General features: G+C 55.4%; 3 protein-coding genes across 13 annotated transcripts in view, besides 5 other annotated features; 2 read left to right on the forward strand and 1 right to left on the reverse strand.

Annotated features, from left to right (window-relative positions):
* Positions 4,339 to 4,918: a silencer, noted in NCBI's record as "silent region_10912". NCBI's record gives its function as "represses an Ori minimal core promoter by ATAC-STARR-seq in GM12878 lymphoblastoid cells {active_cell/tissue: GM12878}" and the evidence as "EXISTENCE:reporter gene assay evidence [ECO:0000049][PMID:35858748]".
* Positions 4,519 to 8,609, forward strand: LIN7B (lin-7 cell polarity scaffold B). Of its 5 annotated transcripts, none has more exons than XR_243950.4 (6): positions 4,519 to 4,590; positions 4,998 to 5,116; positions 5,409 to 5,480; positions 6,412 to 6,621; positions 8,004 to 8,236; positions 8,501 to 8,609. XR_243950.4 is itself a non-coding variant. In NM_022165.3 (6 exons), exons 1-6 carry the CDS (start codon positions 4,554 to 4,556, stop codon positions 8,520 to 8,522), a joined length of 624 nt encoding a protein of 207 aa, NP_071448.1. In that variant the 5' UTR covers positions 4,519 to 4,553; the 3' UTR covers positions 8,523 to 8,609. The 5 variants fall into 5 exon arrangements, 4 of the variants coding, with proteins under 4 accessions (NP_071448.1, NP_001295348.1, XP_006723386.1 ...); NM_022165.3 differs by having other exon boundaries at positions 8,004 to 8,167; NM_001308419.2 differs by lacking the exon at positions 6,412 to 6,621 and having other exon boundaries at positions 8,004 to 8,167.
* On the reverse strand, positions 8,551 to 9,292 carry C19orf73 (chromosome 19 open reading frame 73). Its single transcript, NM_018111.3, has one exon. The coding sequence runs from the start codon at positions 9,169 to 9,171 to the stop codon at positions 8,782 to 8,784; it is 390 nt and encodes a 129-aa protein (NP_060581.2). The 5' UTR covers positions 9,172 to 9,292; the 3' UTR covers positions 8,551 to 8,781.
* Positions 8,603 to 9,114: an enhancer, noted in NCBI's record as "H3K27ac-H3K4me1 hESC enhancer chr19:49621711-49622222 (GRCh37/hg19 assembly coordinates)". NCBI's record gives its function as "activates a minimal SCP1, AML or CMV promoter by ChIP-STARR-seq in naive H9 embryonic stem cells {active_cell/tissue: H9 hESC(naive)}" and the evidence as "EXISTENCE:reporter gene assay evidence [ECO:0000049][PMID:30033119]".
* Positions 9,304 to 9,523: a silencer, noted in NCBI's record as "silent region_10913". NCBI's record gives its function as "represses an Ori minimal core promoter by ATAC-STARR-seq in GM12878 lymphoblastoid cells {active_cell/tissue: GM12878}" and the evidence as "EXISTENCE:reporter gene assay evidence [ECO:0000049][PMID:35858748]".
* The window catches only part of PPFIA3 (PPFI scaffold protein A3), a 31,483-nt gene continuing 20,855 nt past the window's right edge, over positions 9,693 to 20,320 (forward strand). For all 7 annotated transcript variants that reach the window (XR_007067023.1, XR_007067024.1, NR_103842.2 and 4 more), the window contains exons 1-6: positions 9,693 to 9,871; positions 18,008 to 18,262; positions 18,516 to 18,617; positions 18,997 to 19,161; positions 19,529 to 19,603; positions 20,142 to 20,216. Coding sequence is in view for 4 of the 7 variants with exons in the window: in XM_047439582.1 (XP_047295538.1) it covers positions 18,023 to 18,262; positions 18,516 to 18,617; positions 18,997 to 19,161; positions 19,529 to 19,603; positions 20,142 to 20,216 (657 nt within the window). In the remaining 3 variants the exon portion in view is untranslated. The remainder of the gene's footprint in view (positions 9,872 to 18,007; positions 18,263 to 18,515; positions 18,618 to 18,996; positions 19,162 to 19,528; positions 19,604 to 20,141; positions 20,217 to 20,320) is intronic.
* Positions 10,477 to 10,977: an enhancer, noted in NCBI's record as "H3K4me1 hESC enhancer chr19:49623585-49624085 (GRCh37/hg19 assembly coordinates)". NCBI's record gives its function as "activates a minimal SCP1, AML or CMV promoter by ChIP-STARR-seq in primed H9 embryonic stem cells {active_cell/tissue: H9 hESC(primed)}" and the evidence as "EXISTENCE:reporter gene assay evidence [ECO:0000049][PMID:30033119]".
* Positions 18,022 to 18,421: a silencer, noted in NCBI's record as "silent region_10914". NCBI's record gives its function as "represses an Ori minimal core promoter by ATAC-STARR-seq in GM12878 lymphoblastoid cells {active_cell/tissue: GM12878}" and the evidence as "EXISTENCE:reporter gene assay evidence [ECO:0000049][PMID:35858748]".

A 20,320-nucleotide genomic window follows, 5' to 3' on the forward strand; every position in this document is an offset into this window, starting at 1 on the left:
CAAGTTCACAGAGGTTCAGCCAGGCAGCTGGGACTTGACGAAACAGGAGAGGAGGGCACTGACCTCCCAAATCTACGTGCACCCTCCCTTAGAGGCATCTGCCAACTCAAGCTGCTCACTATCTGCAAGACCCCCCCCCCCAAGAAACTCATCAGAATGCAGTAACTGGGAGGCTAAGGAACTGGTGGCCTGGAGACTGCAGCAGCCATGCTGTTCTAGGGGAGACAGGTTGGGGTTCAAGGCCCACCATGGATTGGCTCTGCTTGAGATGGCCAGGGTGCCTCAATGTCAGAGTAACGCCATAACAGAAGAAATCAGACTAAGAGGCTGGGCATGGTGGCTCATGCTTGTAATCCCAGCACTTCGGGAAGCAGAGGTGGGTGGATTACTTGAGGTCAGGAGTTCAAGACTAGCCTGGCCAACATGGCAAAACCCTGTCTCTACCAAAAATACAAAAATTACCCTGAGGCCAGGTGCGGTGGCTCATGCCTGTAATCCCAGCTCTTTGGGAGGCTGAGGTGGGCAGACCACCTGAGGTCAGGAGTTTGAGACCATCCTGGCCAACATGGCAAAACCCAATCTCTACTAAAAAATACAAAGCATTAGCCAGGCATGGTAGTGAGCACCTGTAATCCCAGGTACTCGGGAGGCTGAGGCAGAATTGCTTGAACCTGGGAGGTGGAGGTTGCAGTGAGCCGAGATGGTGCCATTGCACTCCAGCCCGGGCAACAGAGTGAGACTCCATCTCAAAAAGAATAAATAAATAATCAATCAGGCTAAGAAAGCCTAAAACCAGACTTTTTCAGGATTTAGGCAGTCTGCTAGTCAGAAGAAAACTCTGGAAGAAGATAACGTTCCGAGTCTCCACATGTACTATTTTTAGTACCCATTACTCAGCATCTACTCAATAGTTACCAGCCTTGCTAGAAAGGACTTAATTTGCTGAAAACCAAGAGGGAAACAAAATAGACAATAGAAAGAGACCCAGGCAGGGGTGATTCAGATGTTGGAGTTATCATAACTATGATATATTCACAAAATAAGGAAAAGATGGAGAATGTTGAGATATCTGGAATCTAGCTACTTGAGAGGCAGAGGTAGGAGGATTCTTTAAGCCAAGGAGTTTGAGATTCAGTGAGCTATGATCACACCACTGCACTCCAGCCTGGGTGACAGGAAGACCCTGCCTCAAAAAAAAAAAAAAAATCTGGAATCTAACAAAAAGTTAAATGGCAATTCTAGAACTAGAAAACACAAGTGAAATTAAGAATTAAGTAGGTGGTGGCCAGGCATGGTGGCTCTGTAAACTCAACACTTTGGGAAGCCAAGGTGGGAGGATCACTTGAGCCCAGGAGATGGAGACCAGCCTGGGCAACATCGCAAAAGCCTGGTCTCTACAAAAAATACAAAAATTAGCCAAACGTGGTGGCGTGCGCCTATGGTCCCAGATAGGAGGCTGAGGTGGAAGGATTACCTGAGCCCAGGGAGGTAAAGGCTGCAGTGAGCCATGATTGCACAACTGCTCTTCAGCCTGGGCAACAAAGTGAGACCCTGTAACGACAACAACAACAAAACACACACACACACACACACACACACACACATATATATGTATATATAGAGAGAGAAATAGCATGTTACTTAGACACAGAAGCAGCTCTCAGACTAAACATCTGTAAGTTCCCTCTCACAGTGAGTAGAGTTAGGAGAGGTAGAGGCTGGTGCTTTTCACTATTATTAGCCTGTCTGTGTTATTTGATTTTGTTTTTAATCCCATAAAGACATTACTTTTTGCTAAAGAGAGAGCTACAGTGAAGGAGACAGCCAGACAAACCTGCTCTAGTCCTCCCACTTGGAACAAGCACTTTTCTGGACTCCATATCGCCACCCAGCAGAACCAGAAGAGCAGCCAACTTTCTCCAAAGTCTTGTCCACATCTCCTCGGCCTCTCTAGAGCATGATACCACTGACCACTTCCTTTTTTTATTTTTTATTTATTTATTTAATTTTCCAAGATGGAGTTTCGCTCTTATTTCCCAGGCTGGAGTGTAATGGCACGATCTCGGCTCACTACAACCTCCACCTCCTGGGTTCAAGCTATTCTCCTGCCTCAGCCTCCCAAATAGCTGGGATTACAGGCACCCGCCACCACGCCCAGCTAATTTTTTGTATTTTTAGGAGAGATGGGGTTTCATGAAGTTGGCCAGGCTGGTCTCAAACTCCTGACCTCAGGTGATCCGCCCGCCTCAGCCTCCCAAAATGCTTACAGGCGTGACCACCACACCTGGCCTCACTTTTTTTGTTTGTTTGTTTGTTTGAGACGGAGTTTCGCTGTTTTTCCCAAAGCTGGAATGCAATGGCATGATCTCCGCTCACCGCAACCTCCGCCTCTTGGGTTCAAGCAGTTCTCCTGCCTCAGCCTCCCCAGTAGTTGGGATTACAGGCATGCACCACCATGCCTGGCTACTTTTGTATTTTTAGTACAGACAGGGTTTCTCCATGTGGTCAGGCTGGTCTCCTGACCTCAGGCGATCCACCCGCCTCGGCCCCCCAAAGTGCTGGGATTCCAGGCGTGAGCCACCATGCCCAGCCACACTTCTTTTTAAAAACACTCGCAGCCAGACACAGCGGTTCGTGCCTGTAAACTCAGCACTTTGGGAGGCCAAGGCAGGGGGATTGTTTGAGCCCAGGAGTTCAAGACCAGCCTGAGCAACAAAGACCCCTCCATCTAAAACAAACAAAAAAAGAAGATAAAATTTAAAAACCCCTCTTCTCATGGTTTCTCCCACCTGGGTTTCTGCCTACATTTCAGGCCATTCTCTGCTGTCCTCCTGACTTTTAAGTGTTAGAGAGGTCTGGGGACCAGTTCTAGGCCGTCTTAATATTCGCTTGCCCCTGACATTCTTATCCACTCCGGTGGTTTTATTTACCACCTATGCCCCAATATTCAAACATGCCTGCAGACCAGGTTGCTCTTTTGAGCCCTAGACCTAGATCGATAGTTTCTCCCCATGGATTCTGCATAGGCTCCTCAAATTCAAAATATCCAGTATCGGCCAGGCAAGGTGGCTCGCGCCTGTAATCCCAGCACTTTGGGAGGCTGAGGCAGGTGGATCACTTGAGGTCAGGAGTTCGAGACCAGCCTGGCCATCATGGTGAAACCCCATCTCTATGAAAAATACAAAAATTTGGCAGGTGTGGAGGTGCACACCTGTACTCTCAGCTACTCAGGAGGCTGAGGCAGGAGAATTGCTTGCACCCGGGAGGCAGAGGTTGCAATGAGCCGAGATCACGCCACTGCACTCGAGACTGGGCAACAGAGGGAAGACTGTGTCTCAAAAACAAAATATCCAGTATCCCTCTTTCAGTGTAGACCATCTTAAAAATGGCACCAAAGCACCTTAATACTGTCTTCTCCTGCACCTCCCAATCCCCTTATATAGCCAAGCACCAAGGCTTGTCTAGACATTTCCCACATCTGCCCACCCATCTTCTGTGCTTTGGCCCTGGTGCTAGCTGCCACCTGGATGGCTGTGGTAGCCTCGTAAGTTGCCCCGCTGCTTCTCCTCTTGTTCTTGTCCAAACCAGTCTCCACAGTGGCTACAGTGATTTTTTTTTTTTCAATAGATACGAGGTCTCACTATATTGCCTATGCTGGTCTTGAACTCCTGGGCTCAAGTAGTCTTGCTGCAGCCTCCCAAAGCGCTAGGATTACAGGTGTGAGCCACCGTGCCCGGCCCCAGTGATCTTAAAATACAAATTTGAGGCCCAACCTGGGCGACAGAGCGAGGCTCCGTCTCAAAAATAATAATAATAATAATATAATAATAATACAAATTTGAGTGTCATATTTTTCTCTTAGGAGTTTGCATGAAGCCCCAAATCCTCAAGGCGCATATGCCAACGCAGGAGCCCAGGCATAAACTATCCTGCCGACCTTTTCACCTCATCATCAACCAATCCTAACTCTGCTTCCAGCCACGTGGGCTCTTTCTGGGTGGTGGGGGTGACCCAAGCTCCACCTCTTGTTCATCTTACCTCCCAGGACTGTATGTCAATGTCCCTCCTCTAGGATTTCCTTCGTTTTCTAGATCATCACCTCCCCACTCTCAGCTCTCATCACAGCCGTAGTTGGTCGTCTACCTCCCCTATAGACTGGAAGCTTCGTTCGGGCCGTGGGCTTGGCTGTCCTGCTCACCACGGTGTCCATGACTTGGGCTCAGATGTTTCACAAGAGTTTGTTGAATGAATGTGGGGAAAGGATGGACAGGGGATAGACGGGTGTGGAGGGCAGGCAGACACGGATCCTGAAAGGTACACACAGACCGAACCTGCAGTGGGAGGGGTCGCCAACAGGACCGACTGGCCGGGGCGGAGGGCAGGGCGCGGCTGGCGCGCGGCAGGTGGTCGGAGCAGTCGGGCGAGGGAGAGCTGGGCGCTCTCCAGGCTGCGCCTCCGCAGGGGGCGCCCGTGGCCCGGGGCGTGGCCTCGCGCAGCCCCGCCCTCCTCGCCGGCGCCAGGGCAGGCGGGCGGCTGGCAGCTGTGGCGCCGACATGGCTGCGCTGGTGGAGCCGCTGGGGCTGGAGCGGGGTAAGCGTGCGCCAGGGGGCCCTGCCCACCCGGGCCGCGGCCTACATACCCAGCCCCCGGTCCCCGCCCTTCCCGGGTCAGGCCAGTGCGGGTGGGCCAGCGGACCCGGAGGGGGTGGGCGGGGCGGGCGCCGGGGCCGGGCGGTCGCTAGGTGTGGGAGGCTCCCTGGGCGCGGGCCGGGACGCTGGGCGCCCGCCTTACAACCCGGCCTGTGGAGGGGTCCCGGGGCCGCAGGGCCGCTGGTGGCAGTCTCTCCTGCGCCACCCTGGACTCTGCGGGGTGTCCGACTAGGCTTCGGCCGTCCTCCCCGGACTGTGCGCTCGGCCTCACTCCGCCGCTCTCCTTGCTTCTCTGCGTCTCGGGGTCTCTGACACTCGGGGTTTCTGCGCCCCGCCCCCGCCCCGCAGACGTGTCCCGGGCGGTTGAGCTCCTCGAGCGGCTCCAGCGCAGCGGGGAGCTGCCGCCGCAGAAGCTGCAGGCCCTCCAGCGAGTTCTGCAGAGCCGCTTCTGCTCCGCTATCCGAGAGGTGAGGGGCGCGCGGCGCAGGGGCGCGAGCTGGTGGCCGTCGTCCTCCTCCTCCTCCTCCTGCTTGTCCCGAGCCCGGAGACTACGCCTCCCGGCAGCTCCCGAGGCGGCCCGCCTTGGGGTGCCAACGCTTCAGCTCAGGGGTTCTTCGGGAGTTGTAGTTTTCTCGGCCTTCTGTTGCGGGGGCGGGGCGGATCCTTGCGTGGTAGCGGGAGAGGGTCTAGAGGCCTGAACTCCTGCGTCTAGGGCTGGAGGAGCTGGCGACTCCCTGATGCCGCTGCCTCCTCACCCAGGTGTATGAGCAGCTTTATGACACGCTGGACATCACCGGCAGCGCCGAGATCCGAGCCCATGCCACAGCCAAGGTGGGCCCCGCACCCCATTGCTCCTGGTGTCTATTTAACTGCCTAGTCGAACTCAATATCTCCTTCATGCCAGTCATTTCTGTTTCCTCCCTCATGATTTTTGCTAAATCTATGTGCCACCTTACTATTAGTAAATAATCGCACATTTTTAACTTAAATGTCATACTAAGGCATCTTTAGCAACTGCAAATGGAAACAGTATGGCATGGTTGGTAGAAGATAACCTTCAACATCTGTACAGTGCAAACCAGGAAACTCATGGCGCTCTGACCTCTCACTGCACAATAGTTAGATGCTGCTACCTCTTGCTGCTGTCCGGAGGCTCAGATCTCCCTCCAGGCCTGGCTTTCCTCTGTTTAAAAGTAAGATTGAGGCCAGGCACGGTGGCTCACGCCTGTAATCCCAACACTTTGGGAGGCCGAGGCAGGTGGATCAGTTGAGGTCAGGAGTTCGAGACCAGCCTGGCCAACATGGTGAAACCCCGTCTCCACAGAAATACAAAAAAAAAAAAAAAGAAAGAAAAAGCCGAGCGTGGTGGCGAGTGCCTGTAATCCCAGCTGGATTACAACTCCGGAGGCTGAGACAGGAGAATCGCTTGAACCCAGGAGGCCGAGGTTGCAGTGAGCCGAGATCATGCCATTGCACTCCAGCCTGGGCAACAGAGTGAGACTTCATCTCAAAAAAAAAAAAAAAGTAAGATTGGCAAGTATGGGGTATTCAAGACACACACCAAATGGACACTTTCTCTTGCAAGTGAACAGAAAGAGACGCACAGTCATTACAGGGGGATCGTGCATTGTGCCATGACAAGTGTCCCATGCTTGGGGATAGTAACCCAGGCTAAATCGCTGTCCTCGGTCCACATCCCCCACCCCAGCTTTCATGCCTACCTGGAAGGGGCCCTCATCTTCAGTCGCTTTCTCTCTCCCAGGCCACAGTGGCTGCCTTCACAGCCAGCGAGGGCCACGCACATCCCAGGGTAGTGGAGCTACCCAAGACGGATGAGGGCCTAGGCTTCAACATCATGGGTGGCAAAGAGCAAAACTCGCCCATCTACATCTCCCGGGTCATCCCAGGGGGTGTGGCTGACCGCCATGGAGGCCTCAAGCGTGGGGATCAACTGTTGTCGGTGAACGGTGTGGTGAGTGGAGGGCTGAGGCAGGACTGGGGGACACAGTCTGTCTAACGTAGCATAGCCCCTGCTTTTGACATTCACTCAACACACACTGAGTGTTGTCTGTATGGCTAGCCCTGTGCTGGGCAATGTTACAGACTCTGAGAGATGTTGGCCTCAGCTCCCTACACTCAACCTTCTCTCTCTGGGGAGGGCAGTAGGCCCCGGCTGAAATAGTCCTAATCCAGAGACATAATAATGAGGAAGTGCAAAGTATTGTGACAGCCCAGATGTGGCACCAGGCCAGCATAGATACAGGAAGGTTTTGCAGAGTAAGGAACATTTGGGTTGGGTGTTAAAGGATGAGTAGGAGTTCTCCAGGCAAACAAGGTACAGGGTGTTCCTGCTGAGGGTACTGTAGATAAGGATACTGACTTGGCATACCTCTGAGCTGAAAAGAAAGGGCTTAGTTCTGATGGAGGTCTGGGGCATGCAGGTAATTAAAATCACTGTGGTTAGGCTGGGTGCGGTGGCTCACACCTGTAATCCCAGCACTTTGGGAGGCTGAGGCACGTGGATCACTTGAGGTCAGGAGTTCAAGACCAGCCTGGCCAACATGGTGAAATCCCATCTCTACTAAAAATACAAAAATTAGCCAGGTGTGGTGGCAGGCACCTGTAATCCCAGCTACTTGGGAGGGTGAGGCAGGAGAATCGCTTGAACCTGGGAGGCAGAGGTTGCAGTGAGCTGAGATAGCACCACTGCACTCCAGCGTGGGTGACAGAGTGAGACTCCCTCTCAAAAAAAAAAAAAAAAAACAAAACTCACTGTGGTTAGAGTTGAGGGAAGCATAACTGGAGAGATGGCTGGGGTCAGCCATACAGGACCTGAGTGCCAGCCTGAGAAGCTGGGACTTTGTCCCATGGGTGCTGGGGAGCTATGGGAGGGGTGAGCCAGGGATAAACTCAGCTTGCAGGTGCAGAAGGACCACTCTGGGACTCTATGGGAGATGAACTGAGGGGAGAGATTAGAAGCCAGGCCAGGGAGGAGGCTGGGGTAAGAGTCCAGAGAAAAGAGGACAAGGCCTGAGCTGGCCCAGGGCTGTGGGGACAAAAAAGAGGGAGTCAAGGCGGGCGGACATTAGTGGGCTGTGGGCAGGGAGGCCACAAAGATGGGTCTGGACGTTTGGCCAGGGACTGAGGGAACACGGGGCTGTCCCTGACATGGGAATCCTGGGAGGTTTTGGAGGAGGACACTGAACCAGGAGTTAATGACTCCCACGAGGAGGACATGAGGCATTGACATCTCAGGGCTGGCACCAGGCTCACTAGCAGTGGGTCCCATCTCCCAGTGGGGGCTGGACGAGGGCAGCGGGCCCCAGGCTCAGCTGTCTGTGTTGGGCCCTGCAGAGCGTTGAGGGTGAGCAGCATGAGAAGGCGGTGGAGCTGCTGAAGGCGGCCCAGGGCTCGGTGAAGCTGGTTGTCCGTTACACACCGCGAGTGCTGGAGGAGATGGAGGCCCGGTTCGAGAAGATGCGCTCTGCCCGCCGGCGCCAACAGCATCAGAGCTACTCGTGAGCCCCTGGGTCACCACACCCCTGGGGCCTCCACGGGCTCCCTTTAACCCCAGGCTCCCAAACCAGGCCAGTGCTTCCTGGATCTTCCAGCCCTGGCCCCTCCTCTGGGATCCTGACCCTTGACCCTTGGCCCAGGCTCTCACCCCAGGCTAGTTTGGCCAAATCCCCTGGGGAGCCCTTAGCTTCCTTCCATCCCAAGATACGGAACCTACTGTGGCTGGGATCCCTCAGCCCACTTACCTGGGCCCTTGCCTCTGCAACCCCAGTCCTGCCCCTCTTGTCTACCCGGAGCCTCCCTGATCCCGGGTCCCTTGTCCACCCCCCTTGCAGGTCCTTGGAGTCTCGAGGTTGAAACCACAGATCTGGACGTTCACGTGCACTCTCTTCCTGTACAGTATTTATTGTTCCTGGCACTTTATTTAAAGATATTTGACCCTCACTGAGTGTCTGTGTGTCTGTCCTGCATCCCTGGGTTGGTGTCTTGAGATGTGGAGGGAATGCGAGGAGCTGAGGTCAGGCCAAGCCGTTGAGAAGCCTTTTCCAGAGTCTGAGAACAGAGGTTAAGACCTCTCCCTAGGTCTGAAGGCGGAGACAGGCCGGCTTCCAAGAGACTAGTCCGAGGGCGGAGGGCGGAGGCAGGGACCCAGTCTGGGTCTGAGTGCTGGGGCAGAACTGAGGACAACGCTGCCTACCCTTAAGAGCGTCTGAGGGCGAAGGCCAAGTCCCTTCCTCCAGAGTCCTGAAACGCAGCCGGAGCCAGTGGGCGGCCTCTGTGTGGGCGGGGCGGAGCGAACCATTAGCCTCGTCCGCCGGGGGAACCCTGCAGGCCGCACTACTGTCTGCGTGGGAGTCGCGGGTGGGGGTGCCGCGTGCAGTTCCCGAGGCGGGCGCAGGGGTGCAGAATGAGGTGCCCTCGCCCACCGGGCGCTCACTCCACCTTCCAAACACAGCGCGTCTTTCCGGAAGCAGCCCCCGCCTTGAAATCCAACCTTTAGCCTCATCCCGCTGCCCGCCCAGCCCTCGTGTCCCGTGCGGCGCGAGGGCTAGTGCGCGCCACTGCCGGGAGCCGGGGTCGCGACTCGCGTTCCACGCCGCGCGCTACTCGCTCCAGGTGACATCATCCCCCTGCCGGGCTCCGCCTCCCGCCCCAGCCGCCTCACGCCGCGTGCCTATTGGTCGACGCGCCTTATGCCCCGCCTCTCGCTCTCCGCCCGCGCGACCCCTCCCGGCCGGTGTGGAGGCGGGGTCTAGTCGCCGGCCGGCGCCGACGCTCTCTCCCATTGGCCGCTCTTCGCCGTCTGTCAGTCTCCTGTTAAAGGGGCCACGACCGCCCGGGAGCCGTGGGGGGGGAGGGGGAGGGAGGAGGAATTTTTTTGGGGGGAAGGTGGGATTTGGGGGGCGCTGGTGGGCACCCCTGGATCTGGCGGCTGCGGCCTCGCGGGGGGAGGCTGATCGGTGACAGGGGCAGGGGGCTATTTTGGGGGTAGAAGGCAGTGAGAGCGTGAGGGGGAGGGGGGTCCCCAGCGCCCAAGCCGGAGCCAGAGACGCGGAGCCCGCGCGAGCGTCGGAGACAGGGCTCCAGGGCTCCGAAGCGACAGAGCCGGGCCCCGGCCGCTGCCAGGGGCCCCGCCCGGCCCCCCCACTCCACCCCACGTCCCTCCTGCAGCCCAGCTCCGCCCGCAGCCGCCGCGGACCAGGCAGGTAAGAGCCCGGCCCGGCCCTCCTGGCAGCGCCCACCCTGGGGACCCCTTGGCGAGCCTCCCCCGCCTCCCCGAGATCCCGGATTCCCTTCCTCATCCCAGGGGACCCCCGAGCCCAGATTTCACACCCCAACCCCGGGGACTCAGGCGTGCCCCTCCCGGCGCCCAGAGTCCCCGACCGAACCCTAGAATCCCGGGCGCACCGCCGCCTCGCGCCTCCTCCAGGGCCCAGGAGCTTGGATTTCCCGGTCCGGCCCCGGGACCCCTCCTAGAGCCTAGATCCCCCTTCCTGACCCTGTCCTGGGAGCTCCAGACACCCGCCGCGGCGGTGCCAGACTCCCCAGACGCGTCCGCATCGTCCCCGCTTCGCGCACTCCGTCTCCCGTCGCCAGCCTCGGGCTTGCACAGCCGGCTGCGTCCCACGGTCCAGGCAGGCTCGGCGGCCGCCCTGGACACAGGCCCGCTCTGGAGCTGTCCATGGTCAGCGCGCTCGGCAGCCTCGCCTCCCCCCACCTCCTGCCGCCGCCACCAGGGAGGGGGCGCAGGCGGCGCGGGGATCCCCCCGCCGCGCCTTTGACCCGGGAATACCCGGGCCCTCCCCGACCAGGGCGCCCCAGCCTCTGGGTTCTGCCGGCCAGGCTCGTGGCCCCGTCCTCGGCACCCCAGGTTCCTGGGACTCCAGCTGCTCCCTGAGGATCCAGGGCTTCTGAATTTTCCTATTCTGGTCGCCGTGGGGACCATGGCACCCGGGGATGCAGCTCCCACCCCGTTCGGGAAGCCTGTCCGTGTCTACACCTCTGCTGGCCCCAGGTGGTAGCCCTCACCCCGTCAGCACCTAGGAATCCTGTTCCCCAGCGTTTGCTCTGCTTAGAACCCCGCTGTGCCCTGCAGACACACAGACTTAGCCTCCTGGCACCCAGCATCTGCTCCCCGAGGGACTCAGGCGCCATGACTCCTTTCCTTTGGGGGACCCGGAATGTGATTCTCAATGCAGTTCTCTGACTTCTGTTCACACTCCCACTTGGGGACCTAAATGTCTTGGTCCCAGTCTCCTATCCCCTCAGGGACCCAGGAGTTCAGACCCCAGCTTCCGTACTGCCCACCAGCTTTTACTGAGGCTGTCTGCCTCAACCCTCTCTCCAAACAAGACCTCAGGCTCTCACCTTCCAATCCCCCATCATTTACCTCCACAAGGATTCAGGAGTCCAGGCTCCCAGCTCTGTCCACTGCCCTCCCCAGCAGGTATCTAGTTTCTCAGGTCTCACTTTTAGGAACCAGGTCTTCACAGCCTCATCACTCTGCCCCATCAACTTCACATCTCCTGTGGCCCTACCAAACCCCTGTCTCATCCTCATGTCACCCCAGGTGGCGGGCTTCAGGACTCTCTACTCTTTCCCCTAAGATGCAGCTTGTTGAGATGTTTCTAGCACTCCATTGCCCCCTGAGGCTCAGATGAGTTCCCCTTCTCCAAGTACACTCTCCCAGGCCAATGAGCCGAACACACATCACCTCCTCCAGATGTATTCTGTGGCCTGGGCTCATAAGGAGATCTAGAAGCTACCTGCTGCCATACAAATTTCTTTCTTTCTATTTATTTATTTATTTATTTTGAGACAAGGTCTCTGTTGCCCAGGCTGGAGTGCACTGGCACAATCACAGCTCACTGCAGCCTCCACCTCCTAGGCTCAGGTCATCTTCCCACCTTAGCCGCCTGAGTAGCTGGGACCACAAGCACTCACCACCAGGCCTGGCTAATTAAAAAAAAATTTTTTTGGCCAGGCGCGGTGGCTCATGCCGGTAATCCCAGCACTTTGGGAGGCTGAAGCGGGCGGATCACCTGAGGTCAGGATTTTGAGACCAGCCTGGCCAACATGGAGAAACCCTGTCTCTACTAAAAATACAAAATTAGCCAGGCGTGGTGGCACATGCCTGTAATCCCAGCTACTCAGGAGGCTGAGGCAGGAGAGTCGTTTGAACCCCGGAGGCGGAGGTTGCATTGAGCTGAGATCGTGCCACTGCACTCCAGCCTGAACGACAAGAGCGAAACTCTGTCTCAAAAAAAAATTTTATTTATTTATTTATTTATTTATTTTTTGTAGAGATGGGGGTTTCGCCATGTTGCCCAGACTGGTCTGAAACTCCTAGGCTCAAGGGATCCTTCTCTGTTGGCTCCCAAAAGTGCTGGGATTACAGGCATGGCCATCGCGCCTGGCCGGGCCACATTTCTTGTCGCACATGTGCTCTTGCATTGCTCCATGTTCTAGATTCCTTCTAAACACCAGAACACTCCCAGCTGATGTCTGTTCTGTGTTCCATTTTCATTCCAGGCATGGTCTGAGTTCTAGGCCAGATGCCAATTTTTTTTTTTTTTTTTTTGAGACGGAGTTTCACTCTTGTTGCTCAGGCTGGAGTGCAATGCTGCGATCTTGGCTCACCACAACCTCTGCCTCCCGCGTTCAAGCGATTCTCCTGCCTCAGCCTCCTGAGTAGCTGGGATTACAGGCGCCTACCACCATGCCCGGCTAATTTTTTGTATTTTTAGTAGAGATGGGGGTTTCTCCATGTTGGTCAGACTAGTCTCGAGTTCCCGACCTCAGGTGATCACCTGCCTCGGCCTCCCAAAGTGCTGGGATTATAGGCGTGAGCCACTGTGCACAGCCTTTGTTTTTTTCATATATTTAGATAAGACCCCTGAGCCAGATTCTGATCCCACCATATCCTCAGACATGTTCCAAAGTTCTAACAACAAGTCCTTCCTTCTTTGCTAAATGTTCATTTCAAGTGTGTTCCAGGTTTCAGCCACGTTGTTCTAGATTCCATTCTCTTCCCAGGAGCAATCTAACTTCTAAGATGTGTGTGTTCCAAGTATGTGCTCTAGGCTTCCTAATTCGTGCCATTGATTCTAGAATGCCCTTCCCTGTTTCCCTGTTTTAGGTTCTAAGGAAGTTCTATCTAATTGCACATTCTTTTTTGTTGTTGTTGTTGTTTAGTTGTTTTTTTTTTTTTTTTTTTTGGCGGGGGATGGAGTCTCACTCTGTCTCCCAGGCTGGAGTGCAGTGGCGCAATCTCAGCTCACTGCAAGCTCCGCCTTCTGGGTTCACACCATTTTCCTGCCTCAGCCTCCCAAGTAGCTGGGACAACAGGCGCCCACCACCACGCCCGGCTAATATTTTGTATTTTTGGTAGAGACGGGGTATCACCGTGTTAGCCAGGATGGTCTCTATCTGTTAACCTCGTGATCCACCTGCCTCTGCCTCCCAAAGTGTTGGGATTACAGGCAGGAGCCACCACGCCCGGCCTGTTGTTTAGTTTTTATTTTATTTTTGAGACGGAGTCTCACTCTGTCACCCAGGCTGGAGTGCAGTGGTATGATCTCAGCTCACTGCAACCTCTGCCTCCCGGGTTCAAACAATTCTCCTGCCTCAGCCTCCCAAATAGCTGGGACTACAGGCACATGCCACCACGCCTGGCTAATTTTTTTTGTATTTTTAATAGAGACAGGGTTTTGCCATGTTGGCCAGGCTGGTCTCGAACTCCTGACCTCAAGTGATCCCCCTCCTGCCTCCCAAAGTGCTGGGATTACAGGTGTGAGCCACCACGCCCGGCCTGTTATCGTTGTTTAGACATTGGATCTCATTATGTTACTGAGGCGATCCTCTCACCTTGGCCTTCCAAAGTGCTGGAATTACAAGCATGAGCCACTGTGCCTGGCCCTAATTTCACATTCTTTTTTTTTTGAGATCGAGTCTCACTCTGTTGCCCAGGCCAGAGTGCAGTGACGCAATCCCGGCTCACTGCAACCTCCGCCTCCCGTGTTCAAGCAAATTCTCCTGCCTCAGCCCCTCGAGGAGCTGGGATTACAGGTGTGTACCACCATGCCTGGCTAATTTTTGTGTTTTTAGTAGAGATGGGGTTTCACCATGTTGGCTAGGCTGGTCTCGAAATCCTGACCTCAAATGATCCCCCGGGCTCAGCCTCCCAAAATGCTGGGATTACAGGCGTGAACCACCGCACCTGGCCTCATGTTCTTAAATGTAAAAGATTCCCAGTGAAGTGTTCTACATAATGTTTTCCTTCCCCCGGTTCTAGGTTCTAGGCCCATTCATTTTCTGTCATTTTTTCCCCAGTGCAGCCTTAGTTTAGAACTTGTCCCCTGGTGGATCGTGGGTTTTCTCCTCCATCTGCCACTTTGGCATTCTAAGCTTGTTCTAGGCTCTCTCTTCTTCTGGAGCCTTCAGCCTAGAAATGTCCTTATTTCCAGAACAGCCCCCCTCCTTTGCCAGCCTCAGTCTTTATTCCAGGAAATGCTCAATTCTCAACATGCATCCTTTTGATCCCTCCCCCTCCCCGCCCTATAGACACTTGTAAGTTCCAAGCAAACTCTTAGACACATGATAAAACCAAGGATGTGACTCCTGCTATATTCTTTTTTAAAAATGTAATTAAATTTTTAAAAAATCTATTTATTTATTTATTTTGAGACCAGGTTATGAGACTGGTTAATTTTTGTATTTTTTTGTAGAGACAGGGTTTCACCATGTTTCCCAGGCTGGTCTCAAACCCCTGGGCTCGAGTGATCCTCCCACCTTGGCCTCCCATAGTGCTGGGATTACAGGCATGAGCCACCGCGCCTGGCCCCCTGCTATATTCTGTGTTATACCTTCATCCCTAGCAGGCTCTGAGTTCTAGATTTTATCTGCTGACTATGTTTGTTATGTGTTGCATTAGGTATATTAATGGGTGTCATTATGTATGTGGGGTTCTGGGGTGACCTGGACACTAAGTTATTGGGTTGCTCTTGGCTGGTTCTAGATTATAGGCTTCAGAACTTAGTTCTAGATTACTTAGGCCTATGAGCGGTTCTTACCCCAAGCCATTGAAAGCGTGGAAGCATACGTCTATTCCCCACCCTGTACTGTGTGTAGTAACCTTCTAGGTTCTATGTCCAGCCTTGCTGTGTTTTTTATTTCCTTCTCGGTCAATTTAAGGCTCTGGAACAGGCTCCCCAAAACATCTGTGTTGCATCGTCAGAGTGGGTTGCTGGTTTTAGATATCATGTTGGGGCTGGGCGCGGTGGCTCATGCCTATAATCTCAGCACTTTGGGAGGCCGAGGCGGGTGGATCACGAGGTCAGGAGATTGAGCTCATCCTGGCTAACATGGTGAAACCCGTCTCTACTAAACATACAAAAAATAATTAGCCGGGCGTGGCGGCACGAGCCTGTAGTCGCAGTTACTTGGGAAGCTGAGGCAGGAGAATCGCTTGAACCCGGGAGGCAGAGGTTGCAGTGAGCCGAGATCACGCCAGCGCACTCCAGCCTGGGCGATAGAGTGAGACTCCGTCTCAAAAAAAAAAAATAGAGATCATGTTGGTTTTTTGCCTATGGCTGGCTTGCCCTCTTAGAATCGTTTTCCTGAATCTTTCCTCTGAGTGCTGGGATTCGCCTGCCTAGATTCTCAGATGCACCACTTCAAACACCCAAGGGGACAGGAACCCAGCTGCCTCCTCTCCCAGGGCCCACGGCCCTCAGGCCCTCCTCTCCTCACAGAAGTCCAAGGCCCCATTCCCAGGCTTTGGACACAGTCCGCATATTGGGCGGGGCTGGGAATTATCCACGCTCAGACCGGTTATGCGTTGCCCGCAGGGAGAGAAGGAAAAGAAGGAACTGAGTGAAAGTCCCTCCTGCTTTCCGCCGGGCCAGCTGGACCCGTCGGACCTGATGTGTGTGGAGGGAGCGGTTCAGGGGGCCTGGCTTCATCTCCGCCCTGCCCCTGGCTCTAGGGACCCAAGTCCAGGCTTCCCGCCCCAGAAACCCCGCCCCTTCCTTGTCCCCCGCCCTTGGGTATAGCTTCAAGAGGGCTGGGGCTGGGGTTGGTGGGAGCGTCCCAGAACTCCTGGGTCCTGGAGGAGGAGCTGTGCACCCAGGGGCCTGGGGGAGGAGGAGCCTGAAGCCTGGGACTTCTGGGTCTAAGCGAGGAAGCTGAGAGCCCAGACTGTTGTCTCTTAGGGGAGGAGAGGGGTGCGGTCTCCGACTCCTGGGAATGGGGAGGTGGGGGCTGGAGGCGCAGGCTCCTGGGGTCTGAGAGACGAAAGGGACTGGGTCTTAGACTCCTGTGACCTGAGGGAGGCGGGAGCTAGTTCTTGGACTTCTGGGTCGTGAAGAGGGTGAAGAAGTGACAAGCATGGTCCTGGCCATACTGGTATTTTTTTTGTTTTTTTTTGTTTGTTTGTTTGTTTTGTTTTTTTTTGAGACTGGGTCTCTCTATATCGCCAAGCTGGAGTGCAGTGGCACGATCTTGGCTCACCGCAACCTCTGCCTCCCGGGTTCAAGCGATTCTCCTGCCTCAGCCTCCCGAGTAGCTGGGACTACAGGTGCGTGCCACCACGCAAGCTAATTTTTGTATTTTTAGTAGAGATGGGGTTTCACCATGTTGGCCAGGCTGGGCTCAATCTCTTGACCTCGTGATCCAACAGCCTCAGCCTCCCAAAGTGCTGGGATTACATGAGTGGGCCACCTTGCCCGGCCGTTACTGTGTTTTTTTTTTGAAATGGAATCTCACACTGTTGCCCAGGCTGGAGTTCAGTGGTGCTATCTCGGCTCACTCTAACCTCCACCTCCCGGGTTCAAGCGATTCTTGTGCCTCAGCCTCCCCAGTGGCTGGGACTACAGGTGCATGCCACCATGCCCGGCTAATTTTTTTTGTATTTTTAGTAGAGACGGGGGTCACCATGTTGCACAGCCTGGTCTTGAACTCCTGACCTCAAGTGATCTGCCCATCTCGGCCTCCCAAAGTGCTGGGATTACAGGCATGAGCCACTGCGCCCAGTCCTGGCCTTGCTTTTTTTTTTTTTTTTTTTTCTTTTCCCGAATGGAGTAGGTCTTTAGATTCTTAGGGAGCCGGGGTCCAGATTTCTGGGAAATTGAAGGAGGCAGGAGTTGGGCTGGCTAGTAGGTGAGACCAACCCTGTGACATTATACAGGTAACCACATCCTAGTGACCTAATCCTGGGTCCCTTGGCCCTGTGGCCTTCTTAAGGCATGGTTCTGGTCTGGGCCTCAGTTTTCCTACCCATGCAGTGGGTTGAGGGGGATTCTCAGTAGAGCCAGAATAGGTAGACACTGATTTTCTCCACATTCACTCATACGATACCAGGGTCGGCCAGCTTTGGTTCCTTTGAGTGGGCTAGGCTTAGGTTTGCTGCCACTGTCTGTTGGAGTCTGACCTCAGTTTTCCCAAATCCTCTCACCCAGGTAGCCAGGACTGTTTTCCTAAGAGCAATGGCACAGGCACAGTGGCATACTTTGGGATGCTGAGGCAGGAGGATCCCTTGAGTCCAGGAGTGAGACCTCATCTCCACAAAAAAAAAAAAAAAAAAAAAGGTCAGGCGCGGTGGCTCACGTCTGTAATCCCAGCACTTTGGGAGGCCGAGGCGGGCAGATCACGAGGTCAGGAGTTCGAGACCAGCCTGGCCAACATGGTGAAACCTTGTCTCTACTAAAAATACAAAAATTAGCTGGGCATGGTGGCGGGTTCCTGTAATCCCAGCTACTCGGGAGGCTGAGGGAGGAGAATTGCTTGAACCGGGACCCGGGAGGTGGAGGCTGCAGTGAGCCGAGATCGCATCACTGCACTCCAGCCTGGGTGACAGATCACTCCAGCTAAAAAAAAAAAAAAAAAAAAAAAAGAAAGTAGGGAAAGGAAAAGAAAAGAAAAGAAAAGAAAAAAATTAGCCAGGTATGCTGGTGTGTGCCTGTAGTCGCAGCTACTCAGGAGGCTGAGTTGGGAGGACTGCTCGAGTCTGGGTCGTTCAGGCTGCAGTGGGCCGTGATCGCGCCACTGAACTCCAGCCTGGGTGACAGAGTGAGACCCTGTTAAAAAAAAATAATAATAATAATAGGCCTCAGTTTCCCCTGGCAGCACCTGGTGGCCAATCTTTGGTTTCCCCGGTGGAGTGACAGGGTGGCGGTGCCTGTTTCCCTGTGTCATGATCACAGTGCCTGGGCCTCAGTTTCTTCTGTGCAGTGCTTGGTTTGCCCCCAACTATTTCCCCTACGTGGTATCCGAGTGGCTGTGCCTCAGTTTCTCTGTTGTGCCTTGACAAGGCCGGTCTGTTCCTTGCCCTCCCCGCCCCGCAGGCCCGCACCGCCGCCATGATGTGCGAGGTGATGCCCACCATCAGCGAGGATGGCCGGCGGGGCTCGGCGCTGGGCCCGGACGAGGCGGGCGGGGAGCTGGAGCGCCTCATGGTCACGATGCTCACGGAGCGCGAGCGCCTGCTGGAGACGCTGCGCGAGGCACAGGACGGGTTGGCTACAGCGCAGCTGCGGCTGCGCGAGCTCGGCCACGAGAAGGACTCGCTGCAGCGCCAGCTCAGCATCGCGCTGCCCCAGGTCTGGGCGGGACAGGGGCGGGGCATGAGGGGGCGGGGCCTCGGGGGGAAGAAGGCGGTCCGGAAGGGGCCGGGCTTGGCGCCTGGAAGGGAGGAGTCTGGGCGAGGCTTGCCGTTAATGGGCGGGGCCTGAGTGGCAAGGGACAGCGGGACTTAGCAGGGAGGGCGGGACCTTCAAACTTCCAGTCCCAGTGAATGAAGGAGACAGGGAAAGGATTGAGCCGAATGTCCAGATCCTGCCAATGTCTGGACAGGAGTTTGCAGCTCTGACGAAGGAGCTGAACTTATGTCGGGAGCAGCTGCTGGAGAGGGAGGAAGAGATTGCAGAGCTGAAGGCGGAACGGAACAACACGCGGGTGAGGGGTGTTGAGGGCGGGGCCTAAGTGGGGGCGGGGCCTCGTGGTGTTGAAGTGGGGGGCGGGGCCTCTCAGTGTTGCAGCGTGACCTATTTTTTTCCCCCATCTCGCCTTTCTGTCTTCTCCTCTTCCCTGCTCCCACTTCCTGGCTGGTCTCCCACTCTGGTGCCACTCCTTCCTCCCTGTCTCCATAACTTTTCTCTTTTCTGTACCACCGGTTCCTTGACCCCGACCTCCTCTCTTTTCCTGACCTGTCTCGGTGCTCCTTTATATGGCTCCATCTTTTCCTCCATGTGTCCGCCCTACCTGTCACCCTTTTTCTCACATCTGCCCCTTTTCCCTTGCCTCTTTTCCTTGACCCCATGCCGTGTGCTTGCAGCTGCTCCTGGAACACCTGGAGTGCCTGGTGTCCAGGCACGAGAGGTCACTGCGCATGACCGTGGTGAAGCGCCAGGCCCAGTCCCCGGGTGGGGTCTCCTCGGAGGTAGAAGTGCTCAAAGCTCTAAAGTCTCTCTTCGAGCACCACAAGGCCCTGGATGAGAAGGTATGAGAATTAGAAGAGCAGGGGTGGAGAATGGAAACCTATAGTTGACTGGGGCTGTTCTGAGTGGGAGAGATTCTGGCCGTGATTGGTTGGGGATGTTCTGAGTTGGAAGAATGTTGACTGTGATTGATTGGGACAGGATACATAGACTGGGACCTGACTGGTTGATAGCAGAAAAATAAACCAGGATGGGGGCTAACAGTGGATGGGGCAGATTGGATAGCTGGTTGCGGCTGCATACCCGTTATGGAGACAGGAGCCCCAACGCTGCCCTATCGGATCCGTCCCAGGGGTGTTCTGGACCAGGGGCAACTGTCCTAAACTGGATCTTGTCTCCAGCTGACTGTTGCCCTGCCCCGATCCCCAGGTCCGGGAGCGGCTGCGGATGGCGCTGGAGCGCGTGGCAGTGCTCGAGGAGGAGCTGGAACTGAGCAATCAGGAGGTGTGGGTGTGGCCAAGACAGGGAATTTGAATCCAAGGGGAGGGGCTAAGGGGCTGCCCACGGGGCGGAGCCGGTTGGGTGGGTTCCAGAGAGAATCTATTGGGGCAGGACTAGGGCAGACAAGCTATGGGGTTGGACTATGGAGAGAAACCAGTGGGGTTCCTAAGTGGGCACGCATTGCGCAGGGCTACGGGGAGAATCTCCCAGTGAGAGTGAGATTAAGGGTAGAACCAGGGGCTGGGGCTCAGGCTGGGACTAAGGAGGAAGTGATTGAATGGGGAAAAGCGGGGCTAAAGCGGAAACTTTGTCCAGGAGGCTAAGGGGAAGAGTAAGGGTAGACGCCCTCCGTGGTGGCAGCTAAGGAGGGATATAAGGAGGGAGGGAGCCTAAGGGTAAACCGTGGGGTAGGCATGGCCCCAGCACGACCGGAGGCATCTCATATGGGGCCGCCTATCCCCTTAGAGGGCCAATGCCAGTGAGAACTAGAGCTGGGGGTTCAGGGAGCCCCTGTGCTCTGATTCCCCTTTCACACTTCCAGACTCTGAACCTTCGAGAACAGCTGTCTAGGCGGCGGTCAGGGCTGGAAGAGCCGGGCAAGGATGGGGATGGGCAGGTGAGACATGGAAGTCCCCTCTCCGTGAGCTCCATTCAACTCCCTGACTTTGTGATAGTGTTTGTAACGTTTGGTATCATCCTCACTGGCCCTAAGACGGCTGC

Source organism: Homo sapiens, chromosome 19, assembly GCF_000001405.40.
Source record: "Homo sapiens chromosome 19, GRCh38.p14 Primary Assembly".
NCBI classification, from domain to species: Eukaryota; Metazoa; Chordata; class Mammalia; order Primates; family Hominidae; genus Homo; species Homo sapiens.

Excerpts from the sequence above, each read along its gene's own strand:
- LIN7B (NM_022165.3), top strand. The coding sequence starts at position 4,554 with ATGGCTGCGCTGGTGGAGCCGCTGGGGCTGGAGCGGG. Across the intron at positions 4,591-4,997 it reads GCCGCTGGGGCTGGAGCGGG|ACGTGTCCCGGGCGGTTGAG; the intron begins GTAAGCGTGCGC and ends CCCGCCCCGCAG. Across the intron at positions 5,117-5,408 it reads TCTGCTCCGCTATCCGAGAG|GTGTATGAGCAGCTTTATGA; the intron begins GTGAGGGGCGCG and ends CTCCTCACCCAG.
- C19orf73 (NM_018111.3), bottom strand. The coding sequence starts at position 9,171 with ATGAGGCTAAAGGTTGGATTTCAAGGCGGGGGCTGCTTCCGGAAAGAC.